This window comes from Homo sapiens, chromosome 19 (assembly GCF_000001405.40).
Source record: "Homo sapiens chromosome 19, GRCh38.p14 Primary Assembly".
NCBI classification, from domain to species: Eukaryota; Metazoa; Chordata; class Mammalia; order Primates; family Hominidae; genus Homo; species Homo sapiens.
Genome location: NC_000019.10, coordinates 9,835,020 through 9,860,838, shown reverse-complemented (window position 1 = coordinate 9,860,838; position 25,819 = coordinate 9,835,020). Strand labels below are relative to the sequence as shown.

Below are 25,819 nucleotides of genomic sequence, written 5' to 3'. Positions count from 1 at the left end.
GACCCTCACTGGGATTCCGGTCTCTGACCCCCACCTCTTTGCAGACTCTCTTCCAGAACCCAGAAGAGGGCTGGCAGCTGTACACCTCAGCCCAGGCCCCTGACGGGAAATGCATCTGCACGGCCGTGATCCCAGCGCAGAGTACCTGCTCTCGAGATGGCAGGAGTCGGGAGCTGCGGCAACTGATGGAGAAGGTGAGAACCTTCCAGGTACCCTGGGGGCAGCTGGGAAAATCTCCCAGTTCTCACCCCGCCCTCCAGCCCCATCCAGGTCAGCCAGTGGCCATATCCAGCTATGCAAATTATTCAGAGCTGGCTGATAATCCAGCTCCTCTCCAGGCAGGTCCTTTTTTTTTTTTTTTCCTTTTAACACAGGGTCTCACTCTGTTACCCAGGCTGGAATGCAGTGACATGATCAGCTCACTGCAGCCTCAAACTCCTAGGTTCAAGCAATCCCCACTCCTCAGCCTCTGAGTAGCTGGGACTACAGACATGCACCACCATGCCCTAATTTTTATATTTTTTGTGGAGACGGGGTCTCCCTATGTTGCCCAGGCTGGTCTCAATCTCCTGGGCTCAAGTGATCCTCCTGCCTCAGCCTCCCAAAGTGTTGGGATTACAGGTGTGAGCCACCATGCCCAGATGGATACTTTATCCAATATCTGTTCAATGTATTTTTTTTTTTTTTCTCCTTGAGACAGTCTCACTCTGTCGCCCAGGCTGGAGTGCAGGTGCAGTGGCGCGATCTCAGCTCACCGCAACCTCCACCTCCCAGGTTCAAGCAATTCTCCTGCCTCAGCCTCCCGAGTAGCTGGGATTACAGGCGTGTGCCACCACGCCCAGCTAATTTTTTTATTTTTAGCAGAGATGGGGTTTCACCATATTAGTCATGCTGGTCTTGAACTCCTGACTGCAGGTGATTTGCCTGTCTTGGCCTCCCAAAGTGCGGGGATTACAGGCGTGAGCCACTGCGCCCTGCCTGTTCAATGCTTTTTTGGGAGAGAAGCCAAGCACTTACTGGGATTGGGGTGGGGGGAAGGAAGGAAGACTGGAGGGGCAGCATCTGAGTCTCCTGTGTGTGAGCTCTGGTCCACCAGGCATGTCCCACCCAGCTTTGCAGTTCACCAGACTCACCTACTAAGAAGGAGTTCTGTGCCCCTTGGGGAGGGTCTAACCCTCCACCTCAAGAGGCTCCTATAAAAGTTTCCTTCTACCTCTGATCATGGTCAAGAGAAAATAGTCCCCTGGGCCGGGCGTGGTAGCTCACGCCTGTAATCCCAGCACTTTGGGAGGCTGAGGCATGTGTATCACTTGAGGTCAGGAGTTTGAGATCAGCCTCTACCAAAAATACAAAAATTAGCCGGGCGTGGTGGTGTGTGCCTGTAGTCCCACCTACTCGGGAGGCTGAGGCAGGAGAACTGCTTGAACCCGGGAGGTGGAGGTTGCAGTGAGCTGAGATGGCACCACTGCACTCCAGCCTGGGCAAGACAGAGCAAGACTCCATCTCAAATAAATAAATAAATAAATAAATAAAACTTACAAATTGTTGATTTCTGGAATTTCCCACTTAATATTTTTGGACTGTGGTTGGCCTCAGGTAGCTGAAACGTGAAACTGTGGAGAAGGGAAGAGTATGTAAAAATGTTTTGTGGCGTTCAGGGTGGGTATTAGGCTGCTGAGTTTCTGGGAGTTTCCAAGTGTCATGTGAATAATTGTACAGGAAAGTCTGTATTTCAACAAGCATCCAGTGGTAACTCTGACTGAGTTTACCTTAGCCAGGCAGAGTCCACTTTAGTCAGGTGAAGCTGGTGGGAATCTACCTTAGCCAGGTGAGAGTCTACCTTAGCCAGGTAAAGGTCTACCTTAGCCAGGTGAGGGTCTACCTTAGCCAGGTGAGGGTCTACCTTAGCCAGGTGTTCATCTTAGCCAAGTGAGAGTCTACCTTAACAAGGTGGGAGTCTACCTTAGCCAGGTGTTCACCTTAGCCAGCTGGAGTCTACCTTAGCCAGGTGAGAGTCTACTTAAGCCAGAGATGGAGTTCACCTTAACAAGGTGGCTACCTTAGCCAGATGTTCACCTTAGTCAGATGGGAGTCTACCTTAGCCAGGGGGAGTTCAACTTATCTAGGTGGAGTTCACCGTAGCCAGGTGGAGGTGGGAGCTGGGTGCTCTCAGGTTGGGTCAGGAGAGGCCAGGGCAAGGGAAGTTTATTTTACTCATTCAGCCAAAAAATACTTATTGGGCCTCTACTCCAGGCCAGTGCTGGGCACTGGAGGTTAAGCTGTGGACAAGCTAGACGCAGCCTCTGCCTCTGAGGGTCCCACCTGAAGGAGGCAGATGGATAAGAATGTTCTACATAGTCACAGCTGGGAAGGAAATGACCAGGCAAGAGGAGAGTGAGTGAGCGGCTACCGGACAGGGTGGTCAGGGAAGGATGCTTTGAGTGGGGGACGCTGGAGCTGAACCCTGAAGGATGAGAAGGAGCCAGCCATGGGAACTTGGGGGAACAGCACTCCAGGTAGAGAGACCAGCAAGTGCAAAGACCCTGCAGAAGGAAGGAGCTTAGAGTCTGTGAGAACAAAGAGAGAGGAAGTGGGTTGGGCGGGGGGGGTGGGCAGGACCAGCCAGCACAGGATCTGTGGAGGAGGAAGGTGATCTAATCTCTGTTTTGAAAGTTCCTTCTGTCTGCTGTGTAGAGAATTGACTACAGGGGATGAAGGTGGAACTGGGAGACTAGGGAGGAGGTGAGAGGTGGTGGTAGGTGGACCAGATGGGAGCCAGTGGGTAGTAGGGAGGGAGCGATGGATGGATGGATTGGGCACGCAATTGGGAGGCTGCTGGTAAGCTCAGGGGAGGAGAAGGTGGCCTCGTCGGTGTGGTGTTTGTACAGCCTCTGTTCCTGCCAGCTCTTGTCTGTGGCATCTCTGGGTTGGGATTTGGGGAAGGAGGTCTGGTCCCTTCAGTTGTCCCCATTCCTAGGTCCAGAACGTCTCCCAGTCCATGGAGGTCCTTGAGTTGCGGACGTATCGCGACCTCCAGTATGTACGCGGCATGGAGACCCTCATGCGGAGCCTGGATGCGCGGCTCCGGGCAGCTGATGGGTCCCTCTCGGCCAAGAGCTTCCAGGTGGGTCCTCCTGTGTCCAGACCAGAGGTCAAACAAATGACTGGGATTTGGTATCCATTAGTTCCTACAATGGAGTCATGTCTGGGAAGAATCTAGGGTCCAATATGAGCCACATGTCAAGGGCCAGGTGTGCATCAAAGACAAAGGGTGAAGTTATGAGTCAGAGGTTGGAGTCATGTCTGGGTCAAAGGCCAGGGGTCAGGCTTGGCCATGGTTCCATCTTGATGCACAGGAGCTGAAGGACAGGATGACGGAACTGTTGCCCCTGAGCTCGGTCCTGGAGCAGTACAAGGCAGACACGCGGACCATTGTACGCTTGCGGGAGGAGGTGAGGAATCTCTCCGGCAGTCTGGCGGCCATTCAGGAGGAGATGGGTGCCTACGGGTATGAGGACCTGCAGCAACGGGTGATGGCCCTGGAGGCCCGGCTCCACGCCTGCGCCCAGAAGCTGGGTATGCCTTGGCCCTTGACCCTGACCCCTGATCTCTGACTGCCACACCCAACTCCAGTATCACCTGTTTGTGCCTAGAAGCTGGACACAGTTTTGACCTCTAACTTTTAAACCTCAACCCTTGACCTTCCTACCTAAGGCTACACTTGAGTCCAGAAGCTGGAAATGGCCCTGACCCTTGGCCTCTAACCCCTCACTCACAACTGAACAACATATTGGGACCAGATTTTTGAGTCTTCCCTCATCCCTGGTCCCAGCTTTCCCAACTTGATCACAGCACTTCATCTTTGCCTGGCCTCTCTTGGGCTGTTCATTTCCCCATCCTCATTCCCCCTGTTCCTGCCTCCCAGGCTGTGGGAAGCTGACCGGGGTCAGTAACCCCATCACCGTTCGGGCCATGGGGTCCCGCTTCGGCTCCTGGATGACTGACACGATGGCCCCCAGTGCGGATAGCCGGGTGAGTGACTGCGCCCACCCCTGGGGTCAGGGCCTGGGAGGGACAGAGCCTTTGACTGCCCATAGGTGCCTAGGGAGTCCACACTGGTGACTGTCTTGTAGCCCAAAGTGTCCTGGATCCCCCAGGGCCATTGGACCTCCCTGTCCAGTAACCCCCAAGTGACCAAGGGCTTTGCAGCCTTGTGAATCCCACTCTGTTGACCTCCAGTGTCTGTATAGTGGCTAATGGTTACTGAGTTCTACTGACCAGTTCTCAGGGACTACTGACGTCCAAGTAACTACCCAATGACCAATGCCCTCCCAAGGACAAGAGACCTCTTCCACCAAGCACTGCTCAGTGACCTTCGGACTTCTAGTAGCTTCCATGGTCATGACTGCCCATCACTTAGACACACAAGAACCATCCATGAGGCTGGGCATGGTGGCTCATGCCTGTAATCCCAGCACTTTGGGAGGCTGAGGTGGGCGGATCACCTGAGGTCGGGAGTTCGAGACCAGCCTGACCAACATGGAGAAACCCTGTCTCTACTAAAAATACAAAATTAGCCGGACATGGTGGTGCATGCCTGTAATCCCAGCTACTCGGGAGGCTGAGGCAGGAGAATCACTTGAACCCTGGAGGCAGAGGTTGCAGTGAGCCAAGATCGCACCATTGCACTGCAGCCTGGGCAACACGAGTGAAACTCTGTCTCAAAACAAAACAAAACAAAAACAACAACAAATGCTAGTTAACATGATGACAACAATGATGTTGATGACACGCCTGGTCACCTCATGGTGACAGGGGTTAGTTAACCATGGCAGTGAATTCAAGTGATGTCTTATCATTCAATGGCTGTCCAGTGACCACTAACCACCCAATATTCAATGACCAGGGAATTCCTGGGCCCAGTGACTCCCCAGGGGCTGCAGTTCCCTGGGTCCTTTGGGATGGAGCATTGTCCACTTAGGGTCTGTTTTAAGATCAATAGTGGCCAGGTGCAGTGGCTCACGCCTGTAATCCCAGCACTTTAGGAGGCCGAGGCAGGCAGATCACTTGAGCTCAGGAGTTTGAGACTAGCCTGGGCAACATTGCGAGACCTTGTCTCTACTAAAGATACAATAAATAAGCTGGGCGTGGTGACTTGTGCCTGTAGTCCCTGCTATTCCGGGGGGCTGAGGTGAGAGGATTGCTTGAGCCTGGGAGGTCGAGGCTGCAGTGAGCCGTGATTGTGCCACTGCCCGCCAGCCTGGGAAAAACAGTGAGACTTTGTTTCAAAAGAAAAAAAAAGGCCAGGCGTGGTGGCTCATGCCTGTAATCCCAGCACTTTGGGAGGCTGAGACAGTGGATCACAAGGTCGGGAGTTTGAGACCAGCCTGACCAACATGGTGAAACCCCATCTCTACTAAAAATACAAAAATTAGCCGGGTGTGGTGGGATGCGCCTGTAATCCCAGCTACTCAGGAGGCTGAGGCAGGAGAATCACTTGAACCTGGGAGGCGGAGGTTGCAGTGAGCTGAGATCACGCCACTGTACTCCAGCCTGGGCAACAGAGAGGGACTCCATCTCAAAAAAAAAAAAAAAAATTACTTAAAAAAAAAAAAGACCAATAGCACTCACTGGGATTTGGGTCCTACTGGGGCCATGCAGTTCCCCAAGAAACTGCAGCCCCTGGGGACTCACTGGGCCCAGGAATTCCCTGGTCATTGGATATTGGGTGGTTAGTGGTCACTGGACAGCCATTGAGTGATAAGACGTCACTTGAATTCACTGCCCATGGTTAATGCTGTCACCAGGAGATGATCATGGTCACACTAGGGCCATAATTGGTAATGAATGGTCAACAGAGTTCCCATGACTAATGACCACTTAGTGACTGTTGAACTCTAATGGCTGTAGCTGGTGCTGGGACCCTTGGGTCGTTGGTGGTGGTTCCCCCCAGTGACCAGCGGCTGCTACCATAGGTCTGGTACATGGATGGCTATTACAAAGGCCGCCGGGTCCTGGAGTTCCGTACCCTGGGAGACTTCATCAAAGGCCAGAACTTTATCCAGCACCTGCTGCCCCAGCCGTGGGCGGGCACGGGCCACGTGGTGTACAACGGCTCCCTGTTCTATAACAAGTACCAGAGCAACGTGGTGGTCAAATACCACTTCCGCTCGCGCTCTGTGCTGGTGCAGAGGAGCCTCCCGGGCGCCGGTTACAACAACACCTTCCCCTACTCCTGGGGCGGCTTCTCCGACATGGACTTCATGGTGGACGAGAGCGGGCTCTGGGCTGTGTACACCACCAACCAGAACGCGGGCAACATCGTGGTCAGCCGGCTGGACCCGCACACCCTCGAGGTCATGCGGTCCTGGGACACCGGCTACCCCAAGCGCAGCGCTGGCGAGGCCTTCATGATCTGCGGTGTGCTCTACGTGACCAACTCCCACCTGGCTGGGGCCAAGGTCTACTTCGCCTATTTTACCAACACGTCCAGTTACGAGTACACGGACGTGCCCTTCCACAACCAGTATTCCCACATCTCGATGCTGGATTACAACCCCCGGGAGCGCGCCCTCTATACCTGGAACAACGGCCACCAGGTGCTCTACAATGTCACCCTGTTTCACGTCATCAGCACCTCTGGGGACCCCTGAGCCAATGCTGTGGCTCGGGCTGCTGCCTGGGGGGCCTCTGGGGGCTGGGGGCCCTTTTCATTCTGCCTGTGTCCCTCAAGGGTGATCTCTCTGTCTCTGTCACGCCCTTTCTCCCCGCCTTTTTGCTGGGCTTTTGTTCTCTGCCTATGTATTTCTGTCTATTTTTTCAATTTCCCCTCTTCTCCTTTATTGATCTCTGCTTTTAATACACCACTTCTTTCTTTCTGCCTTTTTATGGATGTCTTTTTCTTTTTATGGCTCTGGTTCTCCAGTTCTTTCCGTCTCTGCCTCTCTCTGTCTCTCTCTCTCTGTCCTTCCACCCCTCCCTCCTTGCTTCCCACCCATTCCTCATCCCTCACTCCCACCCCCACCCCCACCCCCAGGAGTTGAGTGCATGGATCTGTTTCTTTTTTTATTTACACTTTTTCTTTCCGGTTTGCCGGAATAAACAGGACCTTTGACATTTGACGCTTCGGTGACTGTGTGTGTCCAATGGCGACAGAGGTGGAGGTGGCCCCGAAGTCCAAGCCTGGAGACCCATCTCCAGTGAGGATCCCCTTATTCCATGACTCAAGCTTAAGCGAACTGGGGGGAAGGGGTTCCCCAGGGCCAGCCCTTTGGGGAGATGGGTGAGGAGACCCAATCCAAAGTTGTTTTGATCGAAAGCAATTCGTTTAAAAGCAGTTTGATCAAAACAACCGAGAATTCTAGCACAGCAATGAAAACTGGCCTCAAATGAGTATTCTCCCGTCACTGGATTGCCACTCTGCAATCACTGTTGATGCATTACTAAGAGGTCTGGAATTTTTTTTTTCTTTTTTTTTTTTTTGAGACAGTCTTGCTCTGTCACCCACGCTGGAGTGCAGTGGCATGATCTCAGCTCACTGCAACCTCCACCTCCCAGGTTCACACGATTCGCGTGCCTGAGCCTTCCGAGTAGCTGGGATTACAGGCACGCACCACCATGCCAGGCTAATTTTTGTGTTTTTAGTAGAGATGGGGGTTTTGCCATGTTGTCCAGGGTGGTCTTGAACTCCTGGGCTCAAGTGATCCGCTCCCCTCGGCCTTCCAAACTGCTGGGATTACAGGCGTGAGCCACTGAGCCCGGCCAGTCTGGCAATTTTTTAATGGGTTTTTAACAATCGAGCTGGCTTTTAAGAAGCTGAGTATGAAAGAGTAGGGCCCAGCTGAATTTTTCCATTTTCTTTTTTCTCTTGTTGCTTTGTAATTTCAAAAATCGTTTTTAGACAAGTCACATTTGTGCCGAGTAAACTAATCCCAAAAAAGCTAGAAACAGCCTTTTAAAGGGGCACTCAGGTGCCTTCAATTGAACACACTCATACCTCACACCTGGAGCCTGTTTGCCTGCAGGAGGGATTGGGCAGGGACAGCCCTTGATGGGGGACCAGAATTCTTGGAGGGGAAGGAGAGGAAAAGACAAGAAGTTTTGGAGGCAGGAAAGAAGAGTATGAGGGAGACAGGAAGGGACTGAACTAGGAGTAGGCTGGATGCAGCAGCTCATGCCTGTAATCTCAGCACTTTGGGAGACTGAGGGGGAAGGACTGCTTGAGCCCAGGAGTTCAAGACCAGCCTGGGCAACATAGCAAGACCTCGTCTCTAAAAAAATTTTACAAAATTAGCCAGGCATGGTGGCGTGCGCCTATAGTCCCAGCTACTCGGGAGGCTGAGGTGGGAGGATCTCTTGAACCCAAGAGTTCGAGGCTGCCATGAACCATGAGTGCCACTGCATTGCAGCCTGGGCCACAGAGTGAGACCTTGTCTCAATCTAAAAAATAAAAAAGGAGACGCTAAGTCCTCAGCAGCCTTAGAGATCTGGCTAAAGGCAGGGGAAGGGAAGTCACAGAAGGGGAAGAACCAGATGAGGGCTTTATACGAGCCAGGCCTGTCTGAAGGCCTGCATGAGGCAGACCTAAGGGGTGCAGCCAGGCTAGTTGGAAGGGGTACAAGAAAGGTGAGGAGCGTCACCCTTGGGGCTGAGGGACCAAGAATGAAGGTAGGGGGTGCTGCCCAGGTGATCCTGCCCCATGTTGACCCCAGTGGTTGGTCCCTATTGAATCCAGAGCAGAAACAATCATTTAAAGAGCCCTATTGGCCCAGACCGCCACCCTGCTGAGGCCACAAAGGGGGCACTCCCACTCCTCCTGGGGGAGGCTCTCCTCATCTCTAATTAATGGTTACCCTGATTAAATCATCTCCGCTCCGTGCTGGCATCTCCGGGAACTCGGATACCGGGGCCATATTGGGAACGAAACCAACGAATAATAAATGGGACTGCCTAATGTACTCATTTAAAACCAATTTTTAGAGAAATCCTCAAGAAAAGCAATTAATTTCCATTTAAGCGAATATGTTTGACATCGGAAAAAGGATTAATTCCCGGATTAGCATGTGGAGAGGCACTTTACCCTGTACCTGCTGAAGAAATGAAAAGCAGCACAAAGCCAGGACACCTAGAACATCTGTATCCCCCCCAACTCACATTTATTTGGAGGCAGAGAGTCTCCACAGTGAGGGGACGAGGTAGTTTATCGGCCTTAGATACTGGATTCTCCTAAAGTAAGGTGGAGAATTGAGGCTGCTGAGGTCCACAATCTGTGTCCACACTATGCTGAGTGCTGGGGAGCCACATCCTCACACCGAGATTAGGGCTGGGTGTGGGTGTGTCCATCACATCTGTATCAGGTCCTCAGAGAGATCACACACACACACACACACACACACACACACACACACACGCTCAGAGCTCCTTTTGAGTTTGTGGCTTTTGTTACAAACAAGGATGGGCAGGCAGACTAACATTTCCCAGGCCAGGATCAATCTGTGTGCGTCTTCGGCTATCCACTGCTAACTCACTGACTTCCCCTCTCATCATGGACGTGGGCACAGCGAAGCCAACTCCTGTCCTGGGGCAGTAATACCGTTTACCCCAAGGTGACCTGCTCCAGCTCTGCCCAGCGGCCACAGAAGCCAGGGGCACGTAGAGACTGACCCCCTGGGGCGGGTCTGGCCTGGGAGGTGCCTGTAAGTGGCACTAGGGAAGACTACACTGTCACCATCCTAAAGGCCTGGGATTTATGCCCTGGTTCTAGACAGGAGGGGGTGAGGGGGTGGGTGGGAGGTGAGGGAATGCGCAGCTGCTTAATAATGAATCACCGGCCCCGAAGTGGGCTCTGGAGGCATGTTTACCTAACAGCGACATTCTCATTTGGGTTTTGGCCACTGCACAGACAGACAAGGGAAGGGGGTACCTGGAGGGGCAGGTGGTCACACTCAGAACCGGAGGACTCTCAGAACCGGAGGACTCCCAAAATGCACAGGACAGAGAGACGACCAGTCACATGGCCCCACACATTCTTGGGCAAACGCAGACACACATACACACGGGTGGGGGCAGCGGCTCCCACACAGAACGATGCACAGCCTTCCCTGGGCCCTGCTGCTGATGGTCAGGACACAAAGCCCATTCTTCACCCTGGAGTGGAACTCAGCAAACCCTCTGGGCCCCAGCCACTAATTTCCGATCCTTCCAGACCCAGGGCCTCTACTGTTCCAGGAGGGGTGCAGTCACTTCCCCAACCCCACATCCAACTGTTGGTGTGAATGGTGGCATGGCTGCCTCACTCCCAACCCCCCTCCACCAGGCGATGGGAGAACATTCTGCCTGGCGGTGTATCCATGCAGCCGGCTCTCCCCAGCCCTCTGGAGCTGAGAGGAAACCCATTAAACCTTCCTAATGACAAATGCTCCGGCAGGCAGGCAGCAGGCGAATGAGCGATTGCTCCCGAAGCCAGCCAGATGGGAGCGGGCACAGGTGATTGTTTATGAGGCTTGGCCTTTATTAGAAACTCAGCGCTTGGGGGAGGGGAGGTCCCCTGGGGCCGGGCTTTAGTTGCTCAGGTCCCTAAGCTCTGCCAGCCAGGCACCCCCGCAATCTGGGCTGGTCCCCATCAAGTGGAGGGGGAACAGGGCATGCAGGAATAACCACTTCTCCATCAGACCCACAGCCCCCCGACTGAACAGGGGATGGGGGTCAGGCATGCCACATCCACAGCCCCCACACTGGCGGGGGACCCCATCTCCCCGCCACCCACCCCAGGATTCCCTCTGCTCCACCTTCAGGCACTAAAAGCCATGTCTGCTCCCATCCCCCTCCCTGCAGGAGCCCCCTCCAGTCCGGGAGGGCCCTGTTGTCATGGTAACTGCAGCTGCAATGGGTGCTGGGCCAGGTGCCGGGTTGGACCCACGAACCTTCTGGAAGCCCCTGAGATGGCAGGGAAGCAGATCTCAGGGTGCTGGGCAGCTGGACAGTGCCCATGTCCCCAAGAGCCAGCTGCTGTGACTCCCCCTGGCCCAGGGCAAGGGGAAGCCTCGGGGGAGAACTTGCAGCTGGGACCCTTAGGATGGGGGGGCTATGATCCCCTCCCCACGACATCTTCCCCACTATGCTTCCCTGAGGAGAAATGAGACACAGGAGAGCAGAGCAGTGGTTCTGGGTTTAATTGGGGGTGAAAGGGTGCTGCACAGTTGCTCAGAGGGCCCATGGCTGGGCCGCATGAGTGTTCACCTTTGCGACTGAACAGAGGAGCGTGGCCTAACTAGAAACAATTCGGCCCTCGAGTCTGCCTCCAGCACCTGGGGGGACACGGGGCGGCTCTGCTGACCAGGCCTTCTCTTTGGAACACCCCTCCCACCACACTGCCCTGGGTCTGGGAGCCTCCCACCCCTGCTGAAGTCAATTCCTTAAGGGAGAATCTGGCGGTCGCAGCCCCAACTGGGGATGGACAGGGAGTGGGGACCCCAGGGCCCCCAATCTGGAAGGGCCCCCTCCCAGCCATTGTGGGAACAATAAATACTGTGTGACGGTGGCAGGGAGTGGGGGGTTCGGCCACTGGCTGGCGGGCAAGGGGGAGCTGGCCGGCCTAGCCGCCCTGCCCTGCCCCGAGGCCAGGCCTGGGCTCCCCACCCTCACTCAGTGCGGAGGATGATGTGGATGCCGGAATCCGTGAACACGGGCCCGCTCATCTCCCCCGTCCGCAGCGCAAACGAGGCGTCTTCAAATGGCTTCTGCATCTGACCTGGGAGCCAGGAGGGGCGGTGGGGGTGTCAGGGCTGGGCTGGCAGAGGCCAGGATGAGGCAGGGCGGGTGGCAGCCGCGACAGATGGGGCTCCTGCCTGCGCTGAGCCTCACACTCGTCCACACTCATCCGTCACCATGTTTATTGCCAGTGCTGAGCGGCGGCCCAGCTGGGGGTGGCAGGGCCATTAAGGAGGCCCTGGGAAGCCCGAGGACAGCATGAAGGATAGCAGGCAGGGCTACGGCCGCCGCCGTGCATTTAGGGGCCACTTCGGTAGTGAACTCGTCTCCCTGGGCCTGGTTCCCAGCCCTGCCATGTCATCTGTCCCACCAGCCTCCTCGGAGGAGGTGGGCAGCTGCTGGCCCCATGCTGCCGCCCCACCCCACTAAGACACCTGCACACCACACCCTGCAACCCATCCTGGCCTCTCCCTGATGTTTTTCTGTAGACCCCGAGGACTGAAGAGGAGGAAGAGGAGGAGGCCTAGTCCCCTCTGTCCCTGATTTCCACTGTCCTGGCCAGACAGGCCTAAACTCAGGGCCACCTCCTCTCACCCCTGGTTTCCCCACCTTTGAGAGGGATTCTGGGGGACAGGCCCTGGGACTCTCAGGGCCCTCAACCTTAAACCACAAAAAGGAAGAGGCAGAGGACAGGATGTACCCACCTTGGTGGGCCTGGGATGAGGACATCTGTGCACAGACACACAAGAGACCATGCCCCCCAGGGTAGAGATGATGCCAGGAAGAAAGTGCTGCAGCCCCCCTCCCTGTGTGGCCCTGGCCCTGCCCAGCAGAGCAGCCTCTGAAGCCTGAGGAAGGGGCTGTGCTGCCACCTGCTGGACCCCGAAGGCCGGTGTGGCACCTGGGAGCCCAATGCCCAGACCCTCCTGGCCTCTACCCCTCAGGGTGGTAAGGGTCCCCCAACCTGGTGAGGCCCATTCCTTGCGCACCTCTGCTGAAGGCACCCAGGTCTCCCCTGGCCTTGGCTGAGCTGCAGTCGCTGAACTGTGAGGCCAGAGACTCAAAGTCCTCCTCTCCCGACTTGATCTTCTGGATGTAGCCTGTGGACATGGAACGGAATGGGAGTGCCAGGTCAGGGGTTGGGGGGGGCCTGACCAGACAGGATGGAGGACTCCAGAGCTGGCCAGCGGGGGAGGCAGCACTTCAGTTGGAAAGCCTCCCCTCACAGGCGCACATGCTCCCCACAACCCCTCTCCTCACACATACCTGCATGCGCAGTCACACCTGTCCTCACCCACACCCAAGAAGAGGTGCCTTTCACGAGCATGAGCACTTAATGCACCCCGCCAGTCATCCATGAGCCCTGCCACCCTGCAGGTCTCACATCCCTGCTCCCGCTGTCACTCTCACCAGCACACACACATGCACACACACACACACACGTGAGGGAAAATCTACATACAAGCTGGATGGGCCAGAGGAGAGCAGCAGGCAGGGAGAGGCTGACCCAGGCAGGGGGCTGGCCCCCCGGGCCCCCTGGGCAGAGGTGGGAGAGCTGTCCAGAGAAAGCCCAGCACTGCCACGGCAGCCTGTGGCCCCAGCTGTCCCATCTGGGAAGAACAGCCTGGCACTGGGATGGGCCTCCAAGGCACCCTGGTGGGCTCTGCAAGGGACACTCGTGGGCTGTAGCCCCAGGGTCCCAGAGGCAGGCAACATAGCTCTTCTCCCGGCTCCCCACCTACAGTCTGCATGCTGGCAGAACTCAGGGTGGCCCCACCCTGTGTGGCCCAAACTAGCCCATCGGCTCTGACTCTCCAGGAGGCGGAGGAGGCCAGGGCTGGTGGAGTTAGGAGGAACAGGGCTGCCAGCAGAGGGGGCAAGACGGCAGCAGAGTAGCATCTGAGTGACTCACGTTTCGGAAGCCAAGTGGGGAGGGCTGCGTGTGTGTGCACGTGGTGTGTGTGGTGTGACTGTGTGTGAGCAAGTGTGTGTATGCAGTCTTGTGCACGTGCCAGGTCAGGAGGAATGGCTACCGCCTTCCTGACTCCAGGCCACCCCCAGGAAGGTGCCCATGGGCCAAAGCCTGCCCTACCCCAATCCTCTTGCTCTGACACAAACGGGCGTCCCTTCCAGTGTCCTCCCTAGGCCAGTGGTGCGACAGCCCCAGCAAGCCAGGGCAGCCCTCTGGGTGAACTGCACCCGCCCCGTGTACCCTAAGGCCTGGCAGCCACTCTCCAGGGACACCAGTTCTTCTCTCCAACGTGAAGGTCACCCTGACACACTCAGTAGGGGGTTTCTTAATGTCACCCTGACACTTCTACCCTTGCTCCTTCTGACCTAAATGATGCCATGACACACCTGCCGGCCAACTTGCCCAGGACATACATAGCTGATACACTGGCCTGGAGCCTGTTGGAGACCCACGGGAACACTGCTGGGTGACCTAGCCAGTGCTGGGAGGCCTGGACACCCAACCGTGGCACCTGCTGAACACACTGGACTGATCCAAGTGTCCCCAGGGCCCCTCGGCCTCACGCTCTAACCTGCTTGGGACTGCAGTGGAAATGGTACCACCGTGAGAGCACAGCCATAGCTCCCTGTTTGGCTGCACGTCATGGCAGCCACCAGTGTCCTGGTATCTGAGCTGGATGTCACCACGACCTGCTGCCCTGACATCCCTGTGCCCCTCCGCCTGACAGTCTTGTGCCAGTGGCTGTGACATGCAGCATAGTGCCCGGCACCGAGCAGGACCCTGACCAACGTCCCTTGCTGTCATCATTCTTCCCCTCCATGGGGACTGCATCCCAGGGATGACGCAGCCTCTACTGCTCTGCTCTCCCTATCCTTGGCCCTGCCGGCCCACGTGTCCTGGTCTGACAGGGACATCGATGCCATACAGGGCCCCAGCTTCTGTTGGGATGGCACATTACAGAGGCTTCTGCCCGTGATGCCCTGGTTTGATCAGAATGCCCCGCTTCCAGGGCTGCCACGGGGTCCTCCTCTGTGCCAGACACATCCACCAGTGACTCCGACTTAAACCAGATGTTGCTAGGACCCCCTCCCACCCCTCCTCTCCCTGAACTTCTAGGTATCTCCTTGGCCTTAGGCACAGAGCACTGGAGTCCCCTGTCCCCCCTTCTGTCTGGACCACTAAGCCAGCCAGGGGATCGCACGGTGCCCCCAGAGGTACCCACCTACTTCGGGGAAGCAGGACTGCCTGCAGGCACTGAGCGTCTGAGGAGCCAGGCCCAGGCCCTGAACAAGCATCACCTTGCCACAGCCCCCAGCGGCCAGGGCTGGGGACACAGCCACAGGGATCCCTGAAATTGGACAGCCCGCCCAAGTTGTCCTCTCTCACACACATAGTGTGCAAGCCATACCACTTAAAAACAAATAAAAGCCACACTTTGGCACACCAATAGCTCATATCACCCAGATCTGCCTCTGACCTGCCAGCTCTCTTGGAAAATTTTCTGCTATGATGGGAGCCTGCAATGACTGTTTTTGTTTTCCTTTTGCAGAGATGGGGTCGCACTTTATTGTTCAGGCTGGCCTCAAACCCCTGGGCTGCAGCAATCCTCTTGCCTCAGCCTCGCAAGTAGCTGGAATGATTTTTTTTTTTAAAACGCTTTCTCTTGAACCTGGGAGGTAGAAAGGTACAGTGAGCTGAGATCGTTGCCACTGCACTCCAGCGTGGGCAACAAGAGCGAAACTCCATTTCAAACAAACAAACAAACAAACAAACAAACAAAAAAACGCTTTCTCTTGAAACTGGGAGGTAGAAGGTACAGTGAGCTGAGATCGTTGCCACTGCACTCCAGCGTGGGCAACAAGAGCGAAACTCCATTTCAAACAAACAAACAAACAAACAAACAAACAAACAAAAACGCTTTCTTCCTGAGTTCCTGCTCTGTGAGGCTGACCTTGAGGGGTTTGGTCCTGTGTGTCTTGTTAGCTCAGCCTGTACCTGACCCCGCGACAATGACATCCTCCGACTCCCACCTCGCAGACCTTGGTTTAAGCCTCTTGTCCTGCCTGAAACTCATCAGCTATCCTCTGGTCTCCCCAAGAAGCCTCCCCTAATCCCCCACTGTGTTAGGTGCCTCCCCCTGGGTGCTGCATTTACTACCGTCCCATTGGTGTGTTGCTTGCCCGCCTCACAGTGCAGGAATGGAGGCTGCTGGGTTGGCCTTCTTCATTGCTGCACCCTCAGAACCCAGCACTGTGCACAAAACAGGTGTTCACGAATGTTCAAGAAGTTAATGAATAAATGAGACAGAAATAGGCCATGGGGAAGGAGGGAGACAGGGATCTACCACGGGGCTCGAAGCAGAAATGCTGGAATCTCATGCCCTATCTGCCTGAAACTCAGGCTGCGACCCTAAGGCCAGACTTCCTGGGCCTCCTCCAAGACAATGTGTCAGCCTTGCCCGACGGCGCCAAAACCTGTGAAATTTGATGGGGACTGTCGGGTGCTGGAGCCCCATCCTGATTCGATGTGGCTCCAGCTTAGAACCACACAGACACAGGGTGGCCTCTCCAGGAGCTCCCAGTCTGGAGCAGGGGCCTCCACCTGCTTCAAGGTGTTCAGGACCCCCTGAAATAGTATGCAAAACAGAATGGCACCTATCTGTGCTGGCAGACCCCAGCCAGCCTGCTCACAGTGTATCCCCAAGGTCCAGGAGGACATGTTATGGGTGCTGACTCCAGACTCCATCAGGTCCAGATCCTACCTCTGCTGCTCCTGAACAATGAGAGTCTGGCAGGTGACTTTACCTCTTGGAGCCTCACTCAACTGGCCTGTAAAATGGGGTAACCGCTGCTCCCACGTTGGAGCCTGTTCCAAGGAGTGAATCAGTGACCGCTTAAGCAGTGGCTGTTGCAGAGCAGGCCCCTGACAGATCCAAGCTGCCCATCCGTTATGGACTCAATGTTTGTGTCACCCCAAATTCATGTGTTAAAGCCCTAACCTCCAGTGTGGCTGCATCTGGAGATGGGGACTTTGGGGAAGTAACTAGGGTTAAATGAGGTCATAAGGGTGGGGCCCTGATCCAACAGGATTAGCGCCCCTTTTTTTTTTGAGGCAGAATCTGGCTCTGTCACCCAGGCTGGAGTGCAGTGGTACAATCTCGGCTCACTGTGACCTCTGCCTCCCAGGTTCCAGCGATCCTCCTGCCTCAGCCTCCTGAGTAGCTGGGATCACAGGTGTGCGCCACTACATCTGGCTTTTTTTTTAGTATTTTTAGTAGAGATGGAGTTTTACCATGTTGGCCAGGCTGGTCTTGAATTCCTGACCTCAGGTGATCCACCCACCTCAGTCTCCCAAAGTGCTGGGATTACAGGCATGAGCCACTGCGCCTGGCCAGGATTAGTGTCCTTATAAGAGACACCAGAGAGCTCGTGCTCCTTCACTCCGTGCACATGCGCCTGGGGAATGCCATGTGAGTGCACAGTGAGAGGGCAGCCGTCTACAAGCCAGGAAGTGGGTTCTCGCCAGGAACAGAATCTGAGGGAACCTGGATTGTGGACTTCTGGCCTCCAGAACTGTGGAAAGTGATGACTGTTGTTTAAGCCACACTGTCTGTGATATTTTGTTACAACAGTCCAAGCTAATGCACATCAGTGACCTAGGTGGGAGTGAGGGAACAAATGGGGTAGTCCTTGACCCCAAAAATGTTTCAAGACGTGCTGTCTCCTCTGCCTTGCCAGATCATTACGCTGCTTCCAGCATACTTCCCCCAGGCTGCCCAGGCACCAGAGGGGAAGGGGCCTGGTCGGGGAAAGAGGTGACAGGGTCAGATCTGAGAAGACCAAGATCCAGAAGGAGGGGCTAGAGGCTGGCCCAAGGCCAGCAGGCTGGAAGGGCGCCAGTGACCTTGAGGACCCCAGGACAAAGGGGCTGACCTGGATGCTGGGATGGGTATGTGAGTAGGACAGCTGCTCATAGTCTCAGCCTTGCTGGGACCCTCCAGGCCCTGGGCATGTGAGGGGTGGCTGTCAACAGATCTGGGTGGAGAGCGGGCAGGGAGGGCTTCTCCATGGCCCATCCTCCTTAGACAAGGACACTGGCAATGACTCCCTTGGATCTCTGACAGCCTCTGGCTGTGGCCCAGCAGCTGCAGAGGAGCCAATGCTGGGAAAAGGAGCCTCAGCAGAAAATGTGGAGGTCCCGGCTCTCTCTGCAGGCAGCCTGTCCCTTCGGGGCAAGGGCGGAGCACCAGATCTAAATGGGCACTGATGAGATTTAGCCCGGCTGCCAGCTGGGGAGTGAGCTGCCCAAATCATGGTCTCCTGATCACCCGGCATGAACCCTCGAGGGGAGAACATCCACTTCATGGAAGAGAAAATGAGGCCCAGGTGCCCAATGCCTGCGCCGACACTGCACATGATGATCTGTTACCGAGTGTACCTCGGCCGGGGCCACCTCACTGCATCCTCCTATCGACCTCTGAGGAGATCTGCCCCAGCACCGTCTCAGGCAGGAGGATACCAGGAGAGGGAGGTCGTGTGCCAAGGTCATCATCTGTGTGCTGAGCCCACCAGGCCTCCTGTGGTCCTATCCGGAACTCTTTCTACGGGCTGTGGGGTGGCAGCAGGGGCTGCCCGTGAGCAGAGGCCTTGACTTGACCTCAGCTCCCCCATCGTCCACACCCCAATGACTGGGGCTGAGGCTCCACCGTGCAGAGCACGCCAGCCACTGAGCCCATAGCTCCTGGATCCTCATAGCCACCCTCTCCCCATTCTACAGATGAGGCAACTGAGGCTCAGGAAATGAAGACCACACAGCTGGCACTGAAATCCAGCCCTGTACGAGCCCAGGGTGGGCCACGCTGTTCTGCCCTGACCCTCCCCCAGACATCCCACCCTTGCCCACCTAATCCATCACCCAGTCCTCTCTATCCTGCCTCCTGAATCTCTCTCGGGTCTGCTCCCTCTCACTTCTTCTTCCACTTCCAGCCCCCAAGTTCAAGTCACACCGCCTCTTGCTCCAATTCCTCCCACAGCTTCCACCAGGTGGGCAGGCAAGGCTCCTGCTGACATTCCAGAATCTGCAGGTACCTACGGTGACGCCTCAGGGCCTGGCTACTTACCAGGTGCACCTGTCCAACCCAGAGATGGGCGAGACACCCTCGCCCACCACACCCAGACCCATGCCCTCCTCACTATCCCCACCGACCTCAGCCTTCTGCCAGCTCTCATCAGGATTGCTTGGAGCAGCTCTGTCCTGCGCCTGGCTGCTCTGCTGACCCCCAGGAGCCCACTTCATGCCGCTCCATCCCCAAATGCCTGCACCCTCCTGCTCACTCTTATAGGGTCCGGAAGCCTCAGAACAGAGACCACTAGAGCTGGGAGGACCTGAAGGGTCATCTTGCAATTCTCTCCTGGCTTCTCCCTCCACTTCTTCTTCTTGCTCTGGGGCAACCAGAACCCCTGAAGGTTCTGGGCCTTCCACTTCCCTGGCCCTTGACATTCTAGCTTCACAGATCTCTGCTGAAAGCAGAGCACTGTGGGTTCCTCTCCTGGTCCCACATGGCCACATATGTCCTGCTGCCTCCAGGAAAGAACCAAACCTCCTCACCTGACAAGGACCCTCCTCAACCTGGCTGGGACCTGCCCGTGAAGGGTCTCATCACCCCCTAGCTCCCTGCAAAGCCTTCCCCAGAGTTCTGGCTACATCCTAGTCCTAGGCCTTTACTTCTGCCCCGTCCTGTGCCAGGAATCCTTCTTGCTTCCTACTGGCTCATGAAACAAGGCTGTGAGGGCTGACTCTGGGCCAGGCTTTGTGTGGCAGGATGGGAATACAGGGGAAAGAGAGAGATCCAGTCCCTGCCCTCAGAGGTCAGGAGGCTGGCTCTTCAATCAGCCTTCAAGATTCTGTGCAAGAACTCGGCTTCTCTCTGCCATGCTTACATATAAGACTAACGGGTGGCACTTACTGTCCTAGATGCCATGTTGGGGGTGTGCATATGTAATAACATCCTACAGGCCAACTGGACCAAGTGATGAGAGAGTAAAACAACAGCCAATACTGACCGAGTGTACACTCTGTGCTGGGCCCTGTGCTACCACAACCAACAACAGCAATGACAGTGACCACTAACAATGACAGAACATTTACCGATGCCAGGAGCTGTTACTCCCGCTTTACTGTATTAGCCAGGAGTCCTCACAACTACCCTGTGAAGTGGGTCTTATTATTCTAATACTAATTTTATAAATGAAAAAGACTGACAGCTGGGGGCGGTGGTTCATGCTTGTCATCCCAACACTTCGGGAGGCTGAGGTGGAAGGATCACTTGAGGCCAGGAGTTTGAGACCATCCTAGGCAACATGGTGAAGTCCTGTCTCTACTAAAAATACAAAAATCAGCCAGGTGTGGTGTTATGAGCCTGCAGTCCCAGCTACTTGGGAGGCTGAGGTGGGAGGATCACCTGATCCCAAGGAGGTTGAGGCTGCAGTGAGCTATGAACACTGCACTCCAGCCTGGGTGACAGAGCAAGACCCTGTCTCAAAAGAAGAAGGAGAAAAAGATTGAAGCCCAGAGATGTTAAGTAACTTGCTCAAGAGCACATAGCCAGGACGTGGCAGAGCTGCATAGCAACCCAGGCTGTCTGGGCATGGTTGAGAGATGGGTTGTTTGGAGTAGGGACAGCCCAGGTTTGGGGACTCTGAGAAAGGCATCAGACACAACTTACTGCAAGAATGGAAAAGTGTTTTTTTTTGTTTTTGTTTTTGTTTTTTTGAGACGGAGTCTCGCTCTGTTGCCGAGGCTGGAGTGCAGTGGCACGATCTCAGCTCACTGCAAGCTCCACCTCCCGGGTTCATGCCATTCTCCTGCCTATCTCCCGAGTAGCTGGGACTACAGGTGCCCGCCACCATGCCAGACTAATTTTTTTGGATTTTCAGTAAAGACAGGGTTTCACCGTGTTAGCCAGGATGGTCTCGATCTCCTGACTTCGTGATCCACCCACCTTGGCCTCCCAAAGTGCTGGAATTACAGACGTGAGCCACCGCGCCCGGCCAAGAATGTAAATGTTTTATATTCCCGCTGTCAAAGATGGCAGCCACCAGCTAAAGTATGACCAGTGCAATTGAGAAACCAATTTTTGATATTATCTTATTTATTTTTGAGACAGGGTCTTGCTCTGTCACCCAGGCTGGAGTGCGGTAGTGTGATCTCGGCTCATTACAACCTCTGCCTCCTGGGCTCAAAGGATCCTCCCACCTCAGTCTTCTAAGTAGCTGACACTACAGGCGTGCACCACCATGTCCAGCTAATTTTTTTATTTTTTTAGAGACGGGGTTTTGCTATGTTGCCCAAGCTGGTCTCAAACTCCTGGGCTCAAGTGATCCTCCCGCACAGGGTGGGAGTGGCAGCCAAACTGGACAGCTTTAGACAGGGCTCTGCAAATGATGGCCTGCAGGCCAAATCCTCCCAGATTTTGTAAATAGTAAAGTTTTCTTGGCACACAGCCATGACCATGTGCTTGCTTACATATTAGTTATGAGTGCTATCCAGTTACAAAGCAGAGCTGATAGAGACTGCATGGCCCACAAAACCTAAAATATTTACCATCTGGCCTTTAAAGTTTGCCACCTTGGTGCCAGACTGCAGAGGAAACACAGAACAGAGCAGGGAATAGCTTCCTCCCTTAGGTCAGAATTAACTCACTATCTACTGGCACTCACTACCTCTTTTTTTTTTTTTTTTTTGAGATGGTGCCTCACTTTGCTGCCCAGGCTGGAGTGGAGTGGTGCGATCTCGGCTCACTGCAACCTCTGCCTCCCTGCCTCAGCCTCCCGAGTAGCTGGGATTACAGGCATGCGTCAACACATCTGGCTAATCTTTGTATTTTTAGTAGAGATGGAGTTTCACCATACTGCCCAGGCTAATCTTGAACTCCTGACCTCAGGTGATCTGCCCTCCAAGGCCTCCCAAAGTGCTGGGATTACAGGCGTGAGCCACCGCACCCTGCATGCACTCACTACCTTCCTGACTGCTCTCTCTGGATCCACCTATGTTTATGACTCAGGCCCCTAGTGGATGATATTACTATTGACAACACTTCCCACAGACTGAGGGCCTACTGTGCAAAATCCATTGCCTTATTCCCTTGAACCTTCACAATGGTCCTTAGAGGATGCCCATTTTACAGAGAAAGCTGAGTCTAGGGGAGGTGACACGAGTCCCCTCCCAAAGGTCACAGAGTTCACAGAGGCACAGCTACTACCTGAACCCATGTCTGCCAGCCCCCAGGCTGGGTCCTCTGCCCCTACCTGGCTCACCCTCAAATGCCAGATGGAAAAGAAAGAGAATGGCTGCTGTGAAGGTCAGGGTCAGGTCATGCACTGGCGTTTTTGTGTTGGCCAACACCACGCCTGGCAGCTGAGCAAGCTGGGGTGAAGGGTCTGATGTGACTTCTACAAAGGCTCACCTGGGAGAAGACCCCCTCCCAAGCCCCTGCCCTCGCCCTGCTCACCGTTGATCAGCTCCAGGGCCTCCTCCTTGGTCCGGGTGATCTTCTCCTGCCGCCAGGACGAGGGCCGCCGTGACTGGCTGTGCTTCACCAGCAGGTGCGAGCAGCGGACCCTGGCAGGCTCCCCCTGCCCGTTTTTGCCACCACTGCTGCTGTTGCCGCTGGGCCGCTCCCACTGGCTGGCGTTAGTGATGTGGTTGAAGTAGTACACTCGGCCTGGAGGGGAGGGCAGGCAGGAATTCAGCTAGGGTTGTGCTCCCAGGACACCCCTGGGCCCACAGCCAGAAGCCAGGGTGAGGGCCTGGCTTGCAGGGGGCGCCTTCATTCAACAAATCCATGGTGTATCCACCATGTGCCACAGGCTCTCCAGACGTGGGCCAATGTGGCAGGATACAGTCCCTGCCCTTAGAGAGCTAACATTCTAGGTGAGAGCAGACAGGTGCTAAACAAGCAAATGAAACACAGGATAGTATCAATCCCTGATAACTTCAAGGAGGAAAATAACCCAGAGTGATGGAACAGAGGAAGCTGGGGGACAGGGAGTGACTCAAACCATGCACTCAGCAGCCAGGCCACCTGGATTCAAATCTGAATCTGGGTTCAAATGTGATATATCTTCCCTGGGCCTTGGTGTTCTCACCTGCAAAATGGAGATAACAGTTCCTACCTTAGGGTCATTGAAAGGACTAAATAATAATTTTTAAACATTTTTAAAAGGGCTAAGCACGGTGGCTCTCACCTGTAATCCCAGCACTTTGGGAGGCCAAGGTGGGGTGGATCACCTGAGGTCAGGAGTTCAAGACCAGCCTGGCCAACACAGTGAAACCCCATCTCTACTAAAAATATAAAAAATTAGCCCGGCATGGTGGCAGGCACCTGTAATCCCAGCTACTGGGGAGGCTGAAGCAGGAGAATCGCTTGAACCCGGGAGATGGAGGTTGCAGTGAGCTGAGATTGTGCCACTGCACTCCAGCCTGGGCAACAAGAGCAAAACTCCGTCACAAACAAACAAACAAACCAACATTAGCCGGGCGTTGTGGTGTATGTCTGTAATCCCAGCTACTCGGGAGGCTGAGGCAGGAGAATTGCTTGAATCTGGAAGGTGGAGGCTACAGTGAGCCAAGATCATGCCACTGCACTCCAGCCTGAGCGATAGAGTGAGACTCTTGTCTCAAAACAAAAACAAAAACAACAGGCTGGCTGGGCGCAGTGGCTCAGGCCTGTAATCCCAGCACTTTGGGAGGCTGAGGCAGGTGGATCACCTGAGGTTAGGAGCTCGAGACCAGCCTGGCCAACATGGTGAAACCTCGTCTCTACTAAAAATACAAAAATTAGCCAGACGTGGTGGCAGGCACCTGTAATCCCAGCTACTCGGGAGGCTGAGGCAGGAGAATCACTTGAACCCGGGAGGCAGAGGTTGCAGTGCGCCAAGATCATGCCACTGCACTCCAGCCTGGGTGACAGAGTGAGATTCTGTCTCAAAACAAACAAACAAACAATAAAAAATAAAAAATAAAAAATTAGCCATGGGTGGGTGGTACACGCCTGTGGTCTCAGCTACTTGAAAGGCTGAGGTGGGAGGATTGCTTAAGCCTGGGAGGCAGAGGCTGCACTGCAGCCTGAGCCACACAGTGAGACCATCTCCAAAAATAATAATAAGAAAGCACTAAATAAGCTCACACATCTACAAAATGCCTAGGACAGAAACTGGCACACATTAAGAGTGGGATAGCCTTTATTATCTCTATTGTATAGATGGCAAAACGGAGACCTCACCTTTTGCATCTCTGGGAATGGCAGCAGTGGGTAACGCTTCCTGAGTGTTTACTCTGTTCCAGGCACACACAGGGGAAGGCAGGAACTGTACTCAGGTACTTCACACCCGAAAGCTCTGCTCTTAGCTACTACACCGTGCATGGTGTTGCAGAGCTAGGAACCAGCATTACTGGTGGCCCGATGTTACCCAGGGAGTGAGGGGTATGAAGGAGTGAAGACTGTGAACAAGAAACTGGAAGTAAAGACCCTACTGGGTGCCACTCCAAAGGCTGACAGTTCGCCTGGGTGACATGGAGTGTCACCCATAAAGGAAGCCATCAGGGTTGAACTGAGCAGAAACAGCAGAAATGGGCCCAGAGCTGGGCAGAGCATCCGGTTTATGCTGGAGGTCCCAGCCACAGGCCAGGGCTAGAGCAGGGTGGGCGAGAGCGCGGGTTCCAGGTGCAAATGCAGCTGAGCTACTGACTCACTCTAAAACCTTGGCAATGGGCTCTAATCTCCCTGCACCTCAGTTTTCTCATCTGAAAAATGGGGAATAGAGAATAAGGAGATCAAACCTCATGGGGTTAATGAGGAGAGTCCATGTATCCAAACAGTTCACCAGAACCTGGCACTCAACCAAGGAGAATTATTATTGCAAATGCGATTGCTATGGGCTCTAGAGGCAGCAGAGTGACTCGGGACCTGCCCACAGATGCTGGGCCTGCTCCTCAGGAGTTTGCAGTGACACGGGGAGGGGGATTTGTAGGCAAACTGCCTAGGTCCTAATCCAACCCCCGGCCCCTGAAATGAATGATCTTGGACGAGTTCCTTCAGTTTTCTGACCTCAGTTTCCTTGCTGGTAAGGTGGAAGTAATAACTACCTGGCTCCCAGAGTTGCGGCAATTCAGAGAGAACTTAAAGCGCTTGACACAGAGAAAAACATGCCCTGTTACTGGCAATATTATCATTGTGGCTAACCCTTAAATCGGGCCTAAGCACAGGGGCCATCGTCTGGCAGAATGTCACGGGCGATGTCGCAGACTCAGCATTAGGTGTACACAGTAGGGGTGTTAGCAGGGGTAGGTTGTGGACCCGAGGCCGGGCAACACCCTACGCCCTTTGCAGGGTACTGGGGTGTCTCCCTCCCAGGGGTGCCCCCGGGCCCAGCAAGGTGCAGAGACGTCCCCCGGGGTGTCAGGTGCATTAGGCCGAGAGGTATCAGCCGGGCCGGCAGGGCCAGGGCCATCGCCCCGGACTCCCCGGACCCTCACCCGCCCAGCCCCCTGCCTCAGCTTCCTCAGGCTTCCCGGCGGCTCCTGAGGCTCGCAGTCCCCACAACAGGGCGGGCCGGGGCCGTTACCCCGGGGACGACGCGGAAGAGCCAGGACCCCATGGGAGGGAGGCAGCGCTGCCGCCGCGCCCAAGGGGCGAGCTCGAGCCCTGCTTACGCGGGCCCGCGCAGTCCCGCCCCAGCCCCGACCCCCGCGGCACCTGAGCTGCGGCTCATGCGCTTCTCCCAGCCGGGCGGCAGCTTCTCCTCGTCCGCCATCTTCCCTCCTGCCGCAGCGCCTGCTCCGCCTCAGCTGCGCCGCCTGTCGCCCGCGCCCGCCCGCCGCCGCTGCCTATTGGCTAGACGCGCTCTGCAACGGGGCCTGGCGGCGACGCCCATTGGGCTCCCTAACGGTCCGGATTGGCTTTCTGGCCTTCTATTGGGTAGAAGAAAGGCTGGGCGGACCCTCCCACGTTATCCCTGCGCCCCGCCCCCGGCCAGCCTCAGCCTGGCCCCGCCCACTCGCTCTCCTCGGCTCCTGAGTGGTCCGAAGCGACGCGGGCCCGCCCTTCTCAACGCCCTTTAGCGAGCGCCAAAAAACTCC

At 55.3% G+C, this 25,819-nt stretch overlaps 2 protein-coding genes across 8 annotated transcripts in view, besides 4 other annotated features; one reads left to right on the top strand and one right to left on the bottom strand.

The window, feature by feature from the left end:
• OLFM2 (olfactomedin 2) overlaps positions 1-7,121 on the top strand; it is an 82,798-nt gene extending 75,677 nt beyond the window's left edge. For 3 of the 4 annotated variants that reach the window (NM_058164.4, NM_001304347.2, XM_047439713.1), the window contains exons 2-6: positions 45-194; positions 2,978-3,124; positions 3,357-3,576; positions 3,926-4,032; positions 5,976-7,121. In NM_058164.4, coding sequence (NP_477512.1) covers positions 45-194; positions 2,978-3,124; positions 3,357-3,576; positions 3,926-4,032; positions 5,976-6,653 — 1,302 coding nt within the window. In that variant the 3' untranslated portion in view covers positions 6,654-7,121. Of the gene's footprint in view, positions 1-44; positions 195-2,663; positions 2,743-2,977; positions 3,125-3,356; positions 3,577-3,925; positions 4,033-5,975 lie in introns of those variants that run through there. The other variant, NM_001304348.2, reaches the window with a different exon arrangement.
• On the bottom strand, positions 11,150-25,521 carry PIN1 (peptidylprolyl cis/trans isomerase, NIMA-interacting 1). Of its 4 annotated transcripts, none has more exons than NR_038830.2 (6): positions 25,437-25,521; positions 23,964-24,016; positions 22,191-22,403; positions 12,699-12,809; positions 11,638-11,749; positions 11,150-11,306 (listed from the first exon to the last, which is right to left on the bottom strand). NR_038830.2 is itself a non-coding variant. In XM_011528068.3 (6 exons), the coding sequence occupies exons 2-6, from the start codon at positions 23,970-23,972 to the stop codon at positions 11,640-11,642; spliced, it is 507 nt and encodes a 168-aa protein (XP_011526370.1). In that variant the 5' UTR covers positions 23,973-24,016; positions 25,437-25,521; the 3' UTR covers positions 11,150-11,639. The 4 variants fall into 4 exon arrangements, 2 of the variants coding, with proteins under 2 accessions (XP_011526370.1, NP_006212.1); XM_011528068.3 differs by adding an exon at positions 22,764-22,827 and having other exon boundaries at positions 11,150-11,749; NR_038422.3 differs by having other exon boundaries at positions 11,150-11,749.
• Positions 12,263-12,812: an enhancer, noted in NCBI's record as "H3K4me1 hESC enhancer chr19:9958703-9959252 (GRCh37/hg19 assembly coordinates)". NCBI's record gives its function as "activates a minimal SCP1, AML or CMV promoter by ChIP-STARR-seq in primed H9 embryonic stem cells {active_cell/tissue: H9 hESC(primed)}" and the evidence as "EXISTENCE:reporter gene assay evidence [ECO:0000049][PMID:30033119]".
• Positions 12,813-13,364: an enhancer, noted in NCBI's record as "H3K27ac-H3K4me1 hESC enhancer chr19:9958151-9958702 (GRCh37/hg19 assembly coordinates)". NCBI's record gives its function as "activates a minimal SCP1, AML or CMV promoter by ChIP-STARR-seq in primed H9 embryonic stem cells {active_cell/tissue: H9 hESC(primed)}" and the evidence as "EXISTENCE:reporter gene assay evidence [ECO:0000049][PMID:30033119]".
• Positions 25,230-25,449: a silencer, noted in NCBI's record as "silent region_10048". NCBI's record gives its function as "represses an Ori minimal core promoter by ATAC-STARR-seq in GM12878 lymphoblastoid cells {active_cell/tissue: GM12878}" and the evidence as "EXISTENCE:reporter gene assay evidence [ECO:0000049][PMID:35858748]".
• Positions 25,480-25,819: a silencer, noted in NCBI's record as "silent region_10047". NCBI's record gives its function as "represses an Ori minimal core promoter by ATAC-STARR-seq in GM12878 lymphoblastoid cells {active_cell/tissue: GM12878}" and the evidence as "EXISTENCE:reporter gene assay evidence [ECO:0000049][PMID:35858748]".